This window comes from Homo sapiens, chromosome 1 (genome assembly GCF_000001405.40).
Source record: "Homo sapiens chromosome 1, GRCh38.p14 Primary Assembly".
NCBI lineage: Eukaryota > Metazoa > Chordata > Mammalia > Primates > Hominidae > Homo > Homo sapiens.
The window spans coordinates 117,143,280-117,159,269 of record NC_000001.11 but is presented as its reverse complement, the minus strand read 5'-3'; the positions used below and the strand labels follow the sequence as shown (position 1 = coordinate 117,159,269).

The window sequence follows — 15,990 nt, the reverse complement described above, 5'->3', positions numbered from 1 at the left end:
TTAAACCTCTTTTTCTTCCAAGTCTCGGGTATTTCTTTATCAGCACTGTGAAAATGGACTAATACAGTAAATTGGTACCAGTAGAGTGGGGCACTGCTGAAAAGATACCCAAAAATGTGGAAGCAACTTTGGAACTGGGTAACAGGCAGAGGTTGGAACAGTTTGGAGAGCTCAGAAGAAGACAGGAAAATGTGGGAAATTTTGAAACTTCCTAGAGACTTGTTGAATGGCTTTGACCAAAAGCCTTATAGTGATATGGACAATAAGGTCCAGACTGAAGTGGTCTCAGATGGAGATGAGGAACCTGCTGAGAACTGGAGTAAAGGTGACTCTTGTTATGTTTTAACAAAGAGACTGATGATGTTTTGCCCCTGCCCTCGAGATTTGTGGAACTTTGAACTTGAGAGAGATGATTTGGGGTATCTGGTGGAAGAAATTTCTAAGCAGCAAAGCATTCAAGAGGTAACTTCGGTGCTGTTAAAGGTATTCAGTTTTATAAGGGAAGCAGAGCATAAAAGTTTGGAAAATTTGCAGCCTGACAATGTGAAAGAAAAGAAAAACCCATTTTCTGAGGAGAAATTCAAGCTGGCTGCAGAAATTTGCATAAGTAATGAGGAGCTGAATGTTAATCCCTAAGACAATGGGGAAAATGTCTGCAGGGTATGTCAGAGGTCTTCATGGCTGCCCCTCCCATCACAGGCCTGGGGTCCTAGGAGAAAATAGTTTTGTGGGCCGGGCCCAGGGTCCCCATGCTGTGTGCAGCCTAGGGACTTGGTTTCCTGTATCCCAGCTGCTCCAGCTGTGCCCAAAAGGGTCTTGGGCCATGGCTTCAGAGGGTGCAAACCCCAAGTCTCGGCAGCTTCTATGTGGTGTTGAGCCTGTGAGTGCACAGAAGTCAAGAATTGGGGTTTGCGAACCTCCACCTAGATTTCAGAAGATGTCTGGAAATGCCTGGATGCCCAGGCAGAAGATTGCTGCAGGAGTGGGGCTCTCATGGAGAACTTCTGCTAGGGCAGTGCAGAAGGAAAATATGGAGTCGGAGCCCCAACACAAAGTCCCCCTGGTGCACCACTTAGTGGAGCTGTGAGAAAACAGCCACTGTCCTCCAGACCACAGAATGGTAGATCCACTGACAGCTTGCACTGTTCTTCTGGAAAAGCAACAGACACTCAATGCCAGCCTATGAAAGCAGCTGGGAGGGAGGCTGCACCCTGCAAAGCCACAGGGGTGGAGCTGCCCAAGACCATGGAAACCCACCTCTTGCATCAGCATGACCTGGATGTGAGACCTGGAGTCAAAGGAGATCATTTGGAGCTTTAAAATTTTGGACTTGCATAGGCCCTGTAACTACTTTGTTTTGGCCAATTTCTCCCATTTGGAATGACTGTATTTACCCAATACCTGTACCCCCATTGTATCTAGGAAGTAACTAGCTTGATTTTGATTTTACAGGATTATAGGTGAAAGGGACTTGCCTTGCCTCAGATGTGACTTTGGACTGTGGACTTTTGAGTTAATGCTGAAATGAATTAAGACTTTGGGGGACTGTTGGGAAGGCATGATTGGTTTTGAAATGTGAGAACGTGAGATTTGGAGGGGCCAGGGATGGAATGATATGGTTTGGCTGTGTCCCCACCCAAATCTCATCTTGAATTATACTCTCATAATTCCCATGTGTTGTGGGAGGGACCCAGTGGGAGATCATTTGAATCATGGGGGCAGTTTCCCTATACTGTTCTTGTGGTAGTGAGTAAGTCTAATGAGATCTGGTGGGTTTATCAGGGGTTTCTGCTTTTGCATCTTTCTCATTTTTCTCTTGCCACCACCATGTAAGAAGTGCCTTTTGCCTCCCTCCATGATTCTGAGGCCTCCCCAGCCATGTGGAACTGTAAGTCCAATTAAACCTCTTTTTCTTTCCAGTCTCAGGTGTGTCTTTATCAGCAGCATGAAAATGGACTAATATAGTAGGTAAGACAGACATTGTTACCTCCAATTTTCTAAGATCCAAGGAGGTTACATGACTTACTGAAGGTTACATGGCTATTAAGTGACAAAGCCAAGACTTGAATTTTCATCTTCAAACCCCAAGTCCAATGTGTTCTCAAGGTTTGGGTTACTTGGTCTTACATAAGCCATTATATATGACAGATCTGCTATATATATATATATATATATATCAAAATGATTGTCTTCCTGCTCTTTCTCTTCTTGTCTTCTTATTGCCTCTCATGTTCTTCTGTATTTTTAATTTATCACAGAAGTCTCTGTCTGGCTTTCAGCAATGAAGGGTTTGGTTGTAGAAGTTCCAAGGCTTCCCTTAGCATTGATCTTTGCTTCCTGAACTGCAGGGAGACACTCCATCACAGTCACTACTGTCGCCTCAGCTGGGAACATTGGGGAGGATGGAATCCTGAGCTGCACTTTTGAACCTGACATCAAACTTTCTGATATCGTGATACAATGGCTGAAGGAAGGTGTTTTAGGCTTGGTCCATGAGTTCAAAGAAGGCAAAGATGAGCTGTCGGAGCAGGATGAAATGTTCAGAGGCCGGACAGCAGTGTTTGCTGATCAAGTGATAGTTGGCAATGCCTCTTTGCGGCTGAAAAACGTGCAACTCACAGATGCTGGCACCTACAAATGTTATATCATCACTTCTAAAGGCAAGGGGAATGCTAACCTTGAGTATAAAACTGGAGGTGAGTTACTTTTGGAGAGAGATTTTTTAAAGCACCAAAAGTATTTGAGGCTAAAGATTATGAGTTGCTTATGAAATATGTTGTGACCAATATCAGACAATGATGCTCCCAATTCTGCTAACAGCTGTTTTTGCCATTTTATGGCCAAGACTCACACCAACCCCAAAAGTAGCCAACTATAAGAGAGGCCTTAAAAATCTTTTGTTCTGGGTTCTCTCTGCTTCAGAATTTCCAGGTGTGTTCTCTATTCAACAAAATAAATGTAGCCTCTTTTGTGGTAGCCCCTGGTACAGCTAATAAGAGCAGCCTAGCCTGGGACATTTCCACGCTAAGTAGACCCAAGCGCAATCCTGAAATCAGTATCTTCAGAGACTCATGACAGTGAGTGCATTTTAGAAGTTCAAAGGGAACTAACCAAAACGAAAACAACATTGTCCTATAAACTCATTAATTCCCCTTCCCCTGCAACAATGAAATCCACCCTTTGTTGCCAACCCAATTTAACATATGTTTTCTGAATTTATATACAAGGGACTCAGGTACTGTGAGAGTATAAAGATGATTAAACAGATTTCCCCTACCCTTACAGAGCTCATAATATAGATCTCACAGAGTTAGGGGTCAGGACAGAGATAATAAAAGTCTGTAAATGATAATAATTAGTAAAGTGTATCAAATGCTTTAAGAGAAATATAAATGGAGTGATTGAGAAGAAGAGAGAGATCCCGTTCAAATGCATAGGAGGGAAGGGATGGGAAAGCCCCCTGGAGAAGCTGGCATTTGAGGGGAGCCTTGAAGGATAGGCAGAAACCGGGCCTTTCCAGCCTAAACTAGTATGCACAGGTCTTTCTTGCACACCTCATAACATGCATATGCAATGATTCGAAGCTCAGATCTAGAATCAGACCTGTGTAAGTACAGTGGCCTGGGCAAAGCAATCTCTCTGAGCCTCAGTTTCTTCATCTTAAAATGGGGTCATGTCAAAGGGATACTGGAGCCAACTGAAAGAGCTTCCAATGGCAAAGCTGGAACAATTTAAGCAACAAAATAAGTAACATAGTATTGAATTATAACTCAAAGGTATAGAATAAATACATATGACTTCATACTTATTTAAATAAATGAGGGATATGAAACAAATTCCCCTTACAGATGAATTCCAAATAATTTATTTAGATCTCTTCCCTCCAAAAAGTGGAGCTTGAAACCTTCCCTATCCCACTCAGGGTATATTGGACTTAGTGAAGTCCAGCTTCCAAAGAAATCCGGCAAACACTGCTTTAGCCAGGTGATCCAGGTTAACATCATTAATAAGTCATGTTAACAGCATGTACCTTCTGATATAATGTGATGGGAAGGGCACTTTACCTCCTGTGCTCTTCCTCTCTAAAACCTGTAACCTCAGTCTAATCAGGAGAAAACATCAGATGAATTCTAACAGAGGGGCAACCTACAGAATACCTAACCAGTACTCCTCAGAACTGTCAAGGTCATGGAAAATACCTAACCGGTACTCCTCAAAATACCTAACCAGTACTCCTCAAAACTGTCAACGTCATGGAATATACAGAAAATTGGGAAAACATGACAGACTAGAAGAAACTCAAGCAACATGATGACTAAAAGCATGGTGGTGTTCTGGAAGGAATCTTGGAACAGAAAAAGAACATCAGTGGAAAAACTGTTGAAATACAAATCAAATCTGGAATTTAGTTGATAGTAATATACCATTGGCGGTTTCTCCGTTTTTTCTTTTTTTTCTTTTCTTTCTTTTTTTTTTTTTTTTTTTTGAGATGGAGTTTCACTCTTGTTGCCCAGGCTGGAGTACAACAGCACGATCTCGGCTCACAGCAACCTGCGCCTCCCAGGTTCAAGTGATTCTCCTGCCTCAGCCTCCCAAGTAGCTGGGATTACAGGCATGCACCTCCACAGCCGGCTAATTTTGTATTTTTAGTAGAGACTGGGTTTCTTCATGTTGGTCAGGCTGGTCTCAAGCTCCCGACCTCAGGTGATCTGCCCACCTCAGCCTCCCAAAGTGCTTGGATTACAGGCGTGTGCCACTGCGCCTGGCCTCCAGTTTCTCAGTTTTGACTAATGCACATTGGTTAAGATGTTGACATTAGAGGAAACTGGGTGAGGCCTATGCCAGAACTCTATACCTTCTATGCAACTTTTCTGTACACGTGAAATTATTTCAAAATTAAAAGTTGATTTTTTTTTAATGGGGATGATAGTATTCACAGGAGTGTTGTGAGGATCAAATGAAATAAGGTCTGGAATACAGTACTGGCACAGAATATACCCTCAATGAATGGTGGTTCATTGTCATGTAAACTTAGTTTCCCACATCATCGCCCAAGAGCGTGTTCCCTGCCTGCTCCGAGCATGAGTCTTGTCTCCCCTGCTAGAGAACAGACTCCTTAAGGGTTAGGCAAGGGCTTTCCTTTTACTACTTACTCAGCACCAGCTCAGTCCCAGGTAAAGGAAGACGCCAAATAAATTAATAAATTATATTTTACCCCAATAAAAAGTCCAGGCTTAAACATTTTCCCACAACTGTCTCTCTGCCTGGATATGGGGGGAAGCTAAGTCTTAATTTCAAAATGCAGTTAACTCTCCTGCGAGGAGAATTACCTTGGAGGAAAACAAATGTCTGTTTCTATCCCTGGATACCAGAGCTGGACAATCTCTACCCAAGCAAACTCCAAATCCCTGTGATGACAAAGCTTGTGAATGGAATTTCTGTGGGTGATAGATGAATGCTGTTTGTTTCTTCTTTCTCCTTCTCCCTACCCACCCTAACTTTATCCTCCAGGGAGAAAAATACATAAAATCCAGAAGCTTCACAGATCCCTAGGAAAATGCCTAATTCCCTAAGGGATAGGCTTTTTTATGACCACTGAAGTTCCTCTTACTTGGAGAAAATTTTCTATTGTAACCATAATATACCTAGAATTTAGGTCCTTGGGGTTTGTGATTGGCCAAAGGGTTGTGATGTATAGCAATACTATGAGCAAATAATTATTCGCACCTATAATACAATGGGCTATACACAGGTGGACCTCTGAGGAAGTACTGAGTGGCTTCAATGATAAAAAAAAAAAAAAAAAAATGACTGCATTTTTAAGGCCTAGCGCTTCAAAGGCTATATTGTCTTACGTGTCTGACTTTGGCATCTGCCCTTTCTGACTTTTGACCCTGCAGCCTTCAGCATGCCGGAAGTGAATGTGGACTATAATGCCAGCTCAGAGACCTTGCGGTGTGAGGCTCCCCGATGGTTCCCCCAGCCCACAGTGGTCTGGGCATCCCAAGTTGACCAGGGAGCCAACTTCTCGGAAGTCTCCAATACCAGCTTTGAGCTGAACTCTGAGAATGTGACCATGAAGGTTGTGTCTGTGCTCTACAATGTTACGATCAACAACACATACTCCTGTATGATTGAAAATGACATTGCCAAAGCAACAGGGGATATCAAAGTGACAGGTGGGTTCCTGCATGCTTTTGTATGGATTTACTGGGGAAAGAGTAAAATCTAAATTAAAATTTAACTTCATTAATAGATATATACCAAGGCACAAAAATCTCTAGAGTCCTCTTCACTAAGAATTTGATCACTCAATTCCAGTTGAGATTGTATTACATAAGAGAAAGCCCAACACAAAACAATATGTATGGCATATAGGTCAAAGATGGCAATTAGGTTTCATCTTGTATGCTTTCTCATTGACTGGTTGTCTGGAGAACAGTGTTTAGGATTCTGAGGCTCTGTGTAACTCAGTAGGACTACCTTGCTACAGCAGTGAGGAAGTGATAATTACTTGACATCTTTGATATGTTCAGCTGGACTTCAAGCCCTCCAAAACTTAGGCTAGAAACCAAGGTTTGCTTCCACCCTGCCTTTGAGAAGGCTGTGAATCTGAAGACTAAAAGTCTGGAGTCTGACTTAGTTTTATTCATCCCTCATGAGACTGACTCATGATCCCACTAATATTGGCTCAAGATTAATCTGAAACCCCTAGATGGAACTGGTCTCCCAGCACCCTAGCTGAGAGCTGGCTGAGAAGACCCAGCACCCTAGTCTCCCTGCAGTGCTTTAGTGCATACAAAACCTTAGGTTGAGCTAGTATCAAGAAAATGCATAGACTGAATTCTGACTTTTAAGACCATCCTTCCTGGGGCGAAATTGGATTCAAACTGTAGTGAAAGGAGTACGTCAGGAGGCTGCCATTTAAATCAAGCCTAGCACTGGGCACAAAATACCTTACACATTATAAGTACCCTATAAATGTTTGCCGAATCTAACTGAATAAATCATATTCTTATGATTTTTTAATTTGAAATTATACATATGAACCCAAAATTATCTACAACTCAGATATATCAATTTAAAAAATAAATTACACTCACACACACAAAAGTAACCTATGGAATGGGAGAAAATATTTGTAAATCATTTTAAGGGGTTTCAATCCAGAATATATTAAGAACTCCTACAACTCAACAACAACAAAAATCAAATAACCTCATTTTAAAATGGGCAAAGTACTTGAAGAGACATTCAACCCAAGATGATATAAAAATAGCTAAAAAGCAAATGAAAAGATGCTCAACATCACTAATCATTGGAGAAATGCAAGTCAAAACCACAATGAGATATCACCTAATGCCCATTAGGGTGGCTACTCTAAAAACAAAATAAGGCAAAAACAGAAAATAACATGTTGGTGAGGATGCGGAAAAATTGGAACCCTCATGCACTGTTGGTGGGACTGTAAAATGGTGCAACTTCTATAGAAAATAGTATAAAGTGTCATCAAAACAATTAAAAAAAAGAACTACTGAGATATGGAGCCAGCCGGACTTCGTGGGTCGAGTGGGGACTTGGAGAACTTTTCTGTCTAGCTAGAGGATTGCAAATGCACCAATCAGCACTCTGTCTAGCTAAAGGATTGTAAATGCACCAATCAGCACTCTGTAAAAATGAACCAATCAGCACTCTGTAAAATGGACCAATCAGCGCTCTGTAAAATGGACCAATAGGCAGGAAGTGGGCGGGGCCAAATAAGGGAATAAAAGCTGGCCACTGGAGCCAGCAGCAGCAACCCGGTAGGGCTGCTGTCTGTGATGTGCAGGGTTTGGTGTTTTGCTGTTCACAATAAATCTTGCTGCTGCTCACTCTTTGGGTCCACACTAGCTTTAAGAGCTGTGACTCTCACTGCGAAGGTCTGCAGCTTCATTCCTGAAGTCAGTGAGACCACAAACCCACTGGGAGGAACAAACAACTCCAGATGCACCATATCTGAACATCTGAAGGAACAAACTCCGGACACACCATCTTTAAGAATTGTAACACTCTCCAAAAAAAAAAAAAAAGAACTGTAACACTCAGGTTGGGCATGGTGGCTCACACTTACACTATCATATGATCTAACAGTCCTGCTTCTGGGTATGCCTTCAAAAGAATTCAGAGTCTGAATGAGATATTTGAACACCCATGGTCACAGTAGCACTATTCACCAAAGTCAAGAGATAGAATCAACCCAAAATGTCCATTAGTAGATGAGTAGATAAACAAAATATGGTATACACATACAATAGAATACCATTCAGGCTCAAAAAGGAAGGAAATCCTATCATATGCTATGACATGAATGAACTTTCAGGACATTATCTATGTGAAATAAGCCAGTCACAAAAAGACAAATACTATATGATTTAAACAAAGCATCTAAAGCAGTCAAATGCACAGAAACAGAAAGTAGAATGGTGGTTAGCAGAGGGCAGGGTGGAAGAGTTGAAGGAGAAAGGTTTTTGTTTAATGAGTATAGAGTTTCAGATTTGCAAAATGAAAAAGTTCTAATGATTTGTTTTATAACAACGTGGATATACTTAACACTACTGAACTGTACACTTAAAAATGCTTAAGATGGTAAATTTTGTTGTTTTTACTGCAATTTTTAAAAAGTATCTAACTAAAAAATTACATATGAGAGCGAGAGCTCTTGCACCATCTTGAGGAACAAATTGGCAACTATCCTGGTTAGGATTATTAGTTGCCTGTAACAGAAAACCAATATAAATAAATCTAGTCTGAAAGGGAAGTGTAGGAAGTGTACTAGAATGTTGTGGAACCAAAGACAGGAAGTTCAGTTGACTTCAGGATCAACTGGAACCAGGAACTTAAATCCCATTGAGATTCTTTTTCTCTCATTTCTACTTAATTCTCTCTTTACTCTCTTGTTTTAGTCCATATGGCAAGACGTGATTGCCAAGCATTCCTATATTTAAAAATCTCTTACTCAAGAGAGTGGTGAGACTGAACCTCAATTCATCAGTCTCATTCTACATTCCCAAGAAGGACTTTGACTCCACTTGGGTCAGCTGCCCATACCTAGGCCAATGAGGCAGTATCTGATGAAAGGCCTTCCCAGAAGAGAAGGAGGGACTGAAGTATTGGTCATTTAAAACAATGGGTGCTGACAACAGTATCTCAGTCCAGTTCCCAGTAAAAAGCTCCAAGCTGTGTAAATAATGTCTTCTAGTAGCAAGGGCCACAACTGAACAAGACATAGACATTGAGCACACCTTTTATTCAATTAACAGATCTGTCTTCTTTACATGTTTGTTGGATACATCAAAACAAGTGTTCGAAGTGTCAGGCTAGGATGAAATACAACTTTTGGTAGCTCAAAATTAAGAAAATAGCAGAATTTCTTATTGTTGTAGACAAAGTAGGTGCTCCATGCATGTTTTTAAACAAGTAGGGCCATGGGATTTACATATTGTGTTCTCTGCCTATACTGCTAATTTAGGTCATTCATTTAACAAATATCTATTGTGTGCCAAGTATGTTCAGAGTACTTTTTTAAGCCCCCTGAGATACTGAAATGAATAGCATAAGTATCAAAAGAGAAGTTAATCACAGTGTAGATTTAGTACCTATGGGAAAGAGTTGTTAATTATGACTGAAGTGGATCCATAGATAAGGCAGAGTTCCGGCTGGGTTTTGAAGAAGAAAAAAAATGGTTTGGATAAAATGGGAAGACCTGAAGTCAGGAGCTTACAGTAATGGTCTGGGGGAGAAATTATGAGAGTATTAACTGGAGCAGGGGCAATGGGAAAGAAAAGGGGGAAGAATCAAAAGTTGCATAAACAAAATAATGTACAGTCCTTGGTGATGCAAATGTGAAAGTCAAGAGAAATCACAAGTCAAAGTGGGTTTGATATTTCTACCCAGGATACTTAGGAGGTTGGTGATGCTACCAGAAAAAAAAAAAAAACCCACCCCAAAACATAGGAGCAATATGTGTGGGGAGTAGATAAGGGTTTTAGAGATGTCGAGTTTGAAATGCCCATAGTGTACCCAGGTAGAGATGCCCAGTGCTTAGCACAATAGCCAGCATGTGATAGGTTTTGGGGAGAACACTACACCCTTACTCCATATATTTCCTTTTATGAGAAGGGATCCCCACCAGTGTCATCTTTTTAGCCTCTCTCTTCCTCCCTCTTTCACTCTTCCTGAGAGAACAAGGAATTAATTTATCTGATTGATGAGTATATTAGGAGCAGCTGGACATAAGTAGCTCAGCTCCTCCTTTTTCTTTTTGTTTTTGCTAACTCTCAGGAAGCCCGTGTACATTCTGCTGTGCTCCTGCAGGCCGTCAGTTGTTCAGGGGTAGAATCTGCTCCTGCAGGAGACTTGCACCAGTCTGGTTCTGTCTGACAGTGGGGAGTCTCGGCTGTAGCCCACTTGCCTAACTACAAAGCCTCATTCTCTATTAACATATTTTCAGCACTAAAGGTGATATTTTGATCTTCCAGTTGCCTTATTTTTTTGTCCTTCTCTTTAATTGGTTCAGAGCTAAGCTGGGGAAGAGGCTGTTATTTATTGGACTTCTTTGAACCCCAATAGTAGGTACTCAGAAATATTTACTGAATAATTATGTTTTTAAATGACATATCTAGCAGCAACTGGAAATCTAGATGTGGAACTCAAGACAGAGTTCAAACTAAGGAGGTAGACTTGGAAATGACTAGCATGAAAGTGATATTTATTAGGCTTGAGTGATGTTGGCTTTATTGTCGTTTTTACAGCCAGTACTTATGGAGTGCTTATTATAGGCCAGACACTGTTCTAAGTGCTTTGCATGCACTAACTCATTAATCCTCATAAGAACCCTATGAAGTAGGTTATTAGTATTCTAGCCCTATTTATAGATGAAGAAACTGGAGCACATACATTGAGTAACTTGCCTAAAGTCACACAGCTGGTAAGTGACAGAGCTGAAATGAAATAAAAGAGATAGGATTGTCTAGGGAGGAAATTGAGCAAAAGAAGTATGATTTCATTTCTTTACATCTACCATTCTCTGCTTCAGAATGAGAATAATACTTCCTAGACACTTTATAGTGGTATGATGAAAGCTAATGTAATGACGTGGATCCTGTAAAGATCACTGCCTGGAGGGAAAATGCGTCTCAAGCCAAGAACTGGCCATGGCTGTTTGTTTAGCCTATTCTTTATTTGGTAACCCATAACAATCTCTTATTGGTATAGTTTTTCATTCGGCTGAGTGTTCACTGGAGTGGACCACAGAATGGAATTTTCTTTGAAGAAAGAGAAAGCTCTACTTTTAAGCCAGTTACGGAGAGGTGGGCAAAGGGGTAAAAAATTGCCTGAATTAGGAACAACTTGTTCTGTTTTTCAGGTACTTTTCTTTGCTAACCAGTCATGTGAAGAAGACATCCAGCTTCTCCTGTATGACCCTAAACTTTTTCTCTCACTTCACAGAATCGGAGATCAAAAGGCGGAGTCACCTACAGCTGCTAAACTCAAAGGCTTCTCTGTGTGTCTCTTCTTTCTTTGCCATCAGCTGGGCACTTCTGCCTCTCAGCCCTTACCTGATGCTAAAATAATGTGCCTCGGCCACAAAAAAGCATGCAAAGTCATTGTTACAACAGGTGAGATTAATCACAAATAGTGTGGGATATTGGTTCTGTGGGTGCTTGTGCTCCTAATGAGAGTCGGATAGCCTTCAGCATCAGCCACAGAAAGAAACATTTAATGACACCAGGGCTGTGACATTATTTCCACTAGTACTGGGAAAGGTAATCATTTGTTAGGTCAGCAAACAGCATAGACTTCATTGACAGACCCATAGGAAAAATAACATACAATTCAAGTATTTATGTAAATTCAAATACCTTTTAAGTTACTCAGTCATCAATGAAGGCAAAATAACTTATTGAAGAGAAAGAGATATTTAGCCCTGAGTAATTACCCTGGATTCCACTGTTATTTATAAAGCATATCATCATTCACATAAAACCCCTCCCTGCCCTTCCAGCCGGCCCCTGTGGACAGTTGGCAGATGACTCACCAACTAGCCCTCCTGCTGAGATTTCCTTCTCACTTCAGTCCTCTGGCTCCAATTATTGTTAGGATATTTCCTTTTGAATATTCTTCTGCATATGAAATGTGTATAAAGCTGAGATCATGAAGTTCCAGTCGATACTCCCATATTACTCAGTGGCATCCCCACCAAGCCTCCAGGGTTACAGCCTCAGAGCTATTTTTGTCTCCCCTCTGTCCCGCATGTCAATTTCTTATCAACCCCTACCTATCACATTTTCCCCTGTGTTGCCTCTCAGATTGACCCTAATCCAGCCTTCATCATCTCACACCCCGACTGGTTTTGAAACACTGTACCTGCTCCTTCCTTTCCCTGTTTTAGCTGATAGGAAACACGGTGCCAGAATCGAAGTATTCTGAAACACGATTTCATCATAGCCTTCCTTTGCTCCAGAGCCTAAAGTGACTCTCTGGGCATAACTATATCGAAGTCAAAGTCACAGAAGCATACCTACCCACCATTACTACCTACCACTACTGCTGCCTACCACTACCTGCTAACTACCATTACTTTCTGGTCTTGCTCCCTCCCTCACTGTCTTTTCCTGGAAATCTTCTCTACTCTGTGGCAATTTATACCCACTACTTCCTTTATCCATTTTAGGAAAATGCTTCCTAGCTTATATCCCACCTCCCCAAGAGTCTTTGTATTTTATATCCTCTTGGCATGCATGTATGATTTATGTCTTACACTCTCCAGGGTACATGTATTCCTTGCCTACATTGCTAAGTCCTCAGAGGCAGGTAAAGATCTGTTGATCTGCTTCTTTTCATTCTTTCTCTTGTTCTCCAAGATTTCACTATAGTGCAGTGAACAAAGGAGATTCTTTGTAAGGAAACCCGCCAGTTTTCATCATTTCCAATCCTCCACAGTTGTCAGCAGAGATTTCCCTAAGGAAACTGTCCCTTGGGAATCTCACTAGTAGAGTGAAAAGCACTTTTTTCTTTCCTTGATTCCCCACAACACTGCAAATGAGTGTTTAATAACCTGCAACTAAATAATATGTCCTATATAACATAGCTGACTCATCTTTACCTTGTATTCCCTTAGAGTAATAATTTACAGCTTTAAAAAAATATCCACGACATACATCTAATGGATAATGTTCACATGCAGCACACGTAGGCTTATATACAATTACCCAGTTAGCTGCAGTCCACCTCTTTCTCCCTGGCACCATAGAGGAATAACCATAAATCAAGTAGATTTTTTAAAGTAAATGAGTAAGGCTGGGCATGGTGGCTCACACCTGTAACCCCAGCACTTTGAGAGGCCAAGATGGGAGGACTGCTTGAGCCCAGGAGTTTAAAACCAACCTGGGCAATATGGTGAGACCCCCATCTCTACAAAAAAATTTAAAAATTAGCCAGGTGTGGAGGTCCACCTGTGGTCCCAGCTACTCAGGAGGCTGAGGTGGAAGGATTGCATGAGCCCAGGAGGTTTAGGCTGCAGTGAGCCAATGTTTGCACCACTGCACTCCAGCCTGGGCAACAGAGTGAGACCCTGTCTCAAAAAAATAATGATAAAAGTAAATGAATAGAACATTATTTGAGACACACATTATAATGGGTAATGGCATTTTAGGCCACACACACTCCCTGGTTAGGAATTGAGGCAGAAACCACCTTTCCACCTCTATTCAGGAGCCTGCCCAGACTCCTCTCAGTTCTCATTTACTATAAGGACCCATCTCTTCTCTTCCTTGAGACTGCCACTGGGATGATACCCCGTTAAGGAGAGATTCAAGCCATCTCTTTTTCCCCAGCAACCCATGGGACCATGTGGCCTCAATAGAACAACATCAAAATACTGAAAAATAAGCCCCTTTCTAAACAAGAGATACACCACGCAGTGGCAGGGAAGCTCTCAGTTCTCAATAATTGTTTTGTGAATGGCTATAATGGTATCTTATTGCTGTTATTTCCACAATCCCAGGGATCTACAGAACTATTTCACCACCAGATATGACCTAGTTTTATATTTCTGGGAGGAAATGAATTCATATCTAGAAGTCTGGAGTGAGCAAACAAGAGCAAGAAACAAAAAGAAGCCAAAAGCAGAAGGCTCCAATATGAACAAGATAAATCTATCTTCAAAGACATATTAGAAGTTGGGAAAATAATTCATGTGAACTAGACAAGTGTGTTAAGAGTGATAAGTAAAATGCACGTGGAGACAAGTGCATCCCCAGATCTCAGGGACCTCCCCCTGCCTGTCACCTGGGGAGTGAGAGGACAGGATAGTGCATGTTCTTTGTCTCTGAATTTTTAGTTATATGTGCTGTAATGTTGCTCTGAGGAAGCCCCTGGAAAGTCTATCCCAACATATCCACATCTTATATTCCACAAATTAAGCTGTAGTATGTACCCTAAGACGCTGCTAATTGACTGCCACTTCGCAACTCAGGGGCGGCTGCATTTTAGTAATGGGTCAAATGATTCACTTTTTATGATGCTTCCAAAGGTGCCTTGGCTTCTCTTCCCAACTGACAAATGCCAAAGTTGAGAAAAATGATCATAATTTTAGCATAAACAGAGCAGTCGGCGACACCGATTTTATAAATAAACTGAGCACCTTCTTTTTAAACAAACAAATGCGGGTTTATTTCTCAGATGATGTTCATCCGTGAATGGTCCAGGGAAGGACCTTTCACCTTGTCTATATGGCATTATGTCATCACAAGCTCTGAGGCTTCTCCTTTCCATCCTGCGTGGACAGCTAAGACCTCAGTTTTCAATAGCATCTAGAGCAGTGGGACTCAGCTGGGGTGATTTCGCCCCCCATCTCCGGGGGAATGTCTGAAGACAATTTTGGTTACCTCAATGAGGGAGTGGAGGAGGATACAGTGCTACTACCAACTAGTGGATAGAGGCCAGGGATGCTGCTCAACCTCCTACCATGTACAGGACGTCTCCCCATTACAACTACCCAATCCGAAGTGTCAACTGTGTCAGGGCTAAGAAACCCTGGTTTTGAGTAGAAAAGGGCCTGGAAAGAGGGGAGCCAACAAATCTGTCTGCTTCCTCACATTAGTCATTGGCAAATAAGCATTCTGTCTCTTTGGCTGCTGCCTCAGCACAGAGAGCCAGAACTCTATCGGGCACCAGGATAACATCTCTCAGTGAACAGAGTTGACAAGGCCTATGGGAAATGCCTGATGGGATTATCTTCAGCTTGTTGAGCTTCTAAGTTTCTTTCCCTTCATTCTACCCTGCAAGCCAAGTTCTGTAAGAGAAATGCCTGAGTTCTAGCTCAGGTTTTCTTACTCTGAATTTAGATCTCCAGACCCTGCCTGGCCACAATTCAAATTAAGGCAACAAACATATACCTTCCATGAAGCACACACAGACTTTTGAAAGCAAGGACAATGACTGCTTGAATTGAGGCCTTGAGGAATGAAGCTTTGAAGGAAAAGAATACTTTGTTTCCAGCCCCCTTCCCACACTCTTCATGTGTTAACCACTGCCTTCCTGGACCTTGGAGCCACGGTGACTGTATTACATGTTGTTATAGAAAACTGATTTTAGAGTTCTGATCGTTCAAGAGAATGATTAAATATACATTTCCTACACCATTGTCTGCCTGGTTTGTCAAAAAAAGTGAGTGAAGGGAAGATGGACTAAAAAGCCATAGAGCAGGTTCTAAAGATTAGTACCTAACACTTAACAGGCCTTCAATAAATGTTTGTTGAGTGAATGGGTAAATGAATGGGAGGAAAGATAAGACTGTGAGTATGGGCTGAGTGGCTGGGTCTAGTTTCTTAGTGAAATTCCACTGGGCTTATACCAGCTTGGCACATTTCCATCTTGGGAGATACCAGTAGCAATGGGCTTCAGGCAGATACATGTAGGAGAGTACATACAGGTGGACAAACTAATTGC

General features: G+C 41.6%; 1 protein-coding gene across 7 annotated transcripts in view, besides 1 other annotated feature; it reads left to right on the top strand.

Annotated features, from left to right (window-relative positions):
• Window positions 1-15,683, top strand: part of VTCN1 (V-set domain containing T cell activation inhibitor 1) — a 67,341-nt gene extending 51,658 nt beyond the window's left edge. For 4 of the 7 annotated variants that reach the window (NM_024626.4, XM_017002335.3, NM_001253849.2 and 1 more), the window contains 4 exons: window positions 2,349-2,696; window positions 5,901-6,179; window positions 11,488-11,657; window positions 14,045-15,683. In NM_024626.4, the coding sequence (NP_078902.2) occupies window positions 2,349-2,696; window positions 5,901-6,179; window positions 11,488-11,612 (752 nt within the window). In that variant the 3' untranslated portion in view covers window positions 11,613-11,657; window positions 14,045-15,683. Of the gene's footprint in view, window positions 1-2,258; window positions 2,697-5,900; window positions 6,180-11,487; window positions 11,658-14,044 lie in introns of all 7 variants that reach the window. The other 3 variants (NR_045604.2, NR_045603.2, NM_001253850.2) reach the window with 3 other exon arrangements.
• Window positions 11,628-12,827: an enhancer, noted in NCBI's record as "CDK7 strongly-dependent group 2 enhancer chr1:117689065-117690264 (GRCh37/hg19 assembly coordinates)". NCBI's record gives its function as "activates an origin of replication core promoter dependent on BRD2, BRD4, P300/CBP, MED14 and CDK7 cofactors, with strong dependence on CDK7, by STARR-seq in HCT116 cells {active_cell/tissue: HCT116}" and the evidence as "EXISTENCE:reporter gene assay evidence [ECO:0000049][PMID:35650434]".
• Window positions 15,684-15,990: the final 307 nt, after the last annotated feature.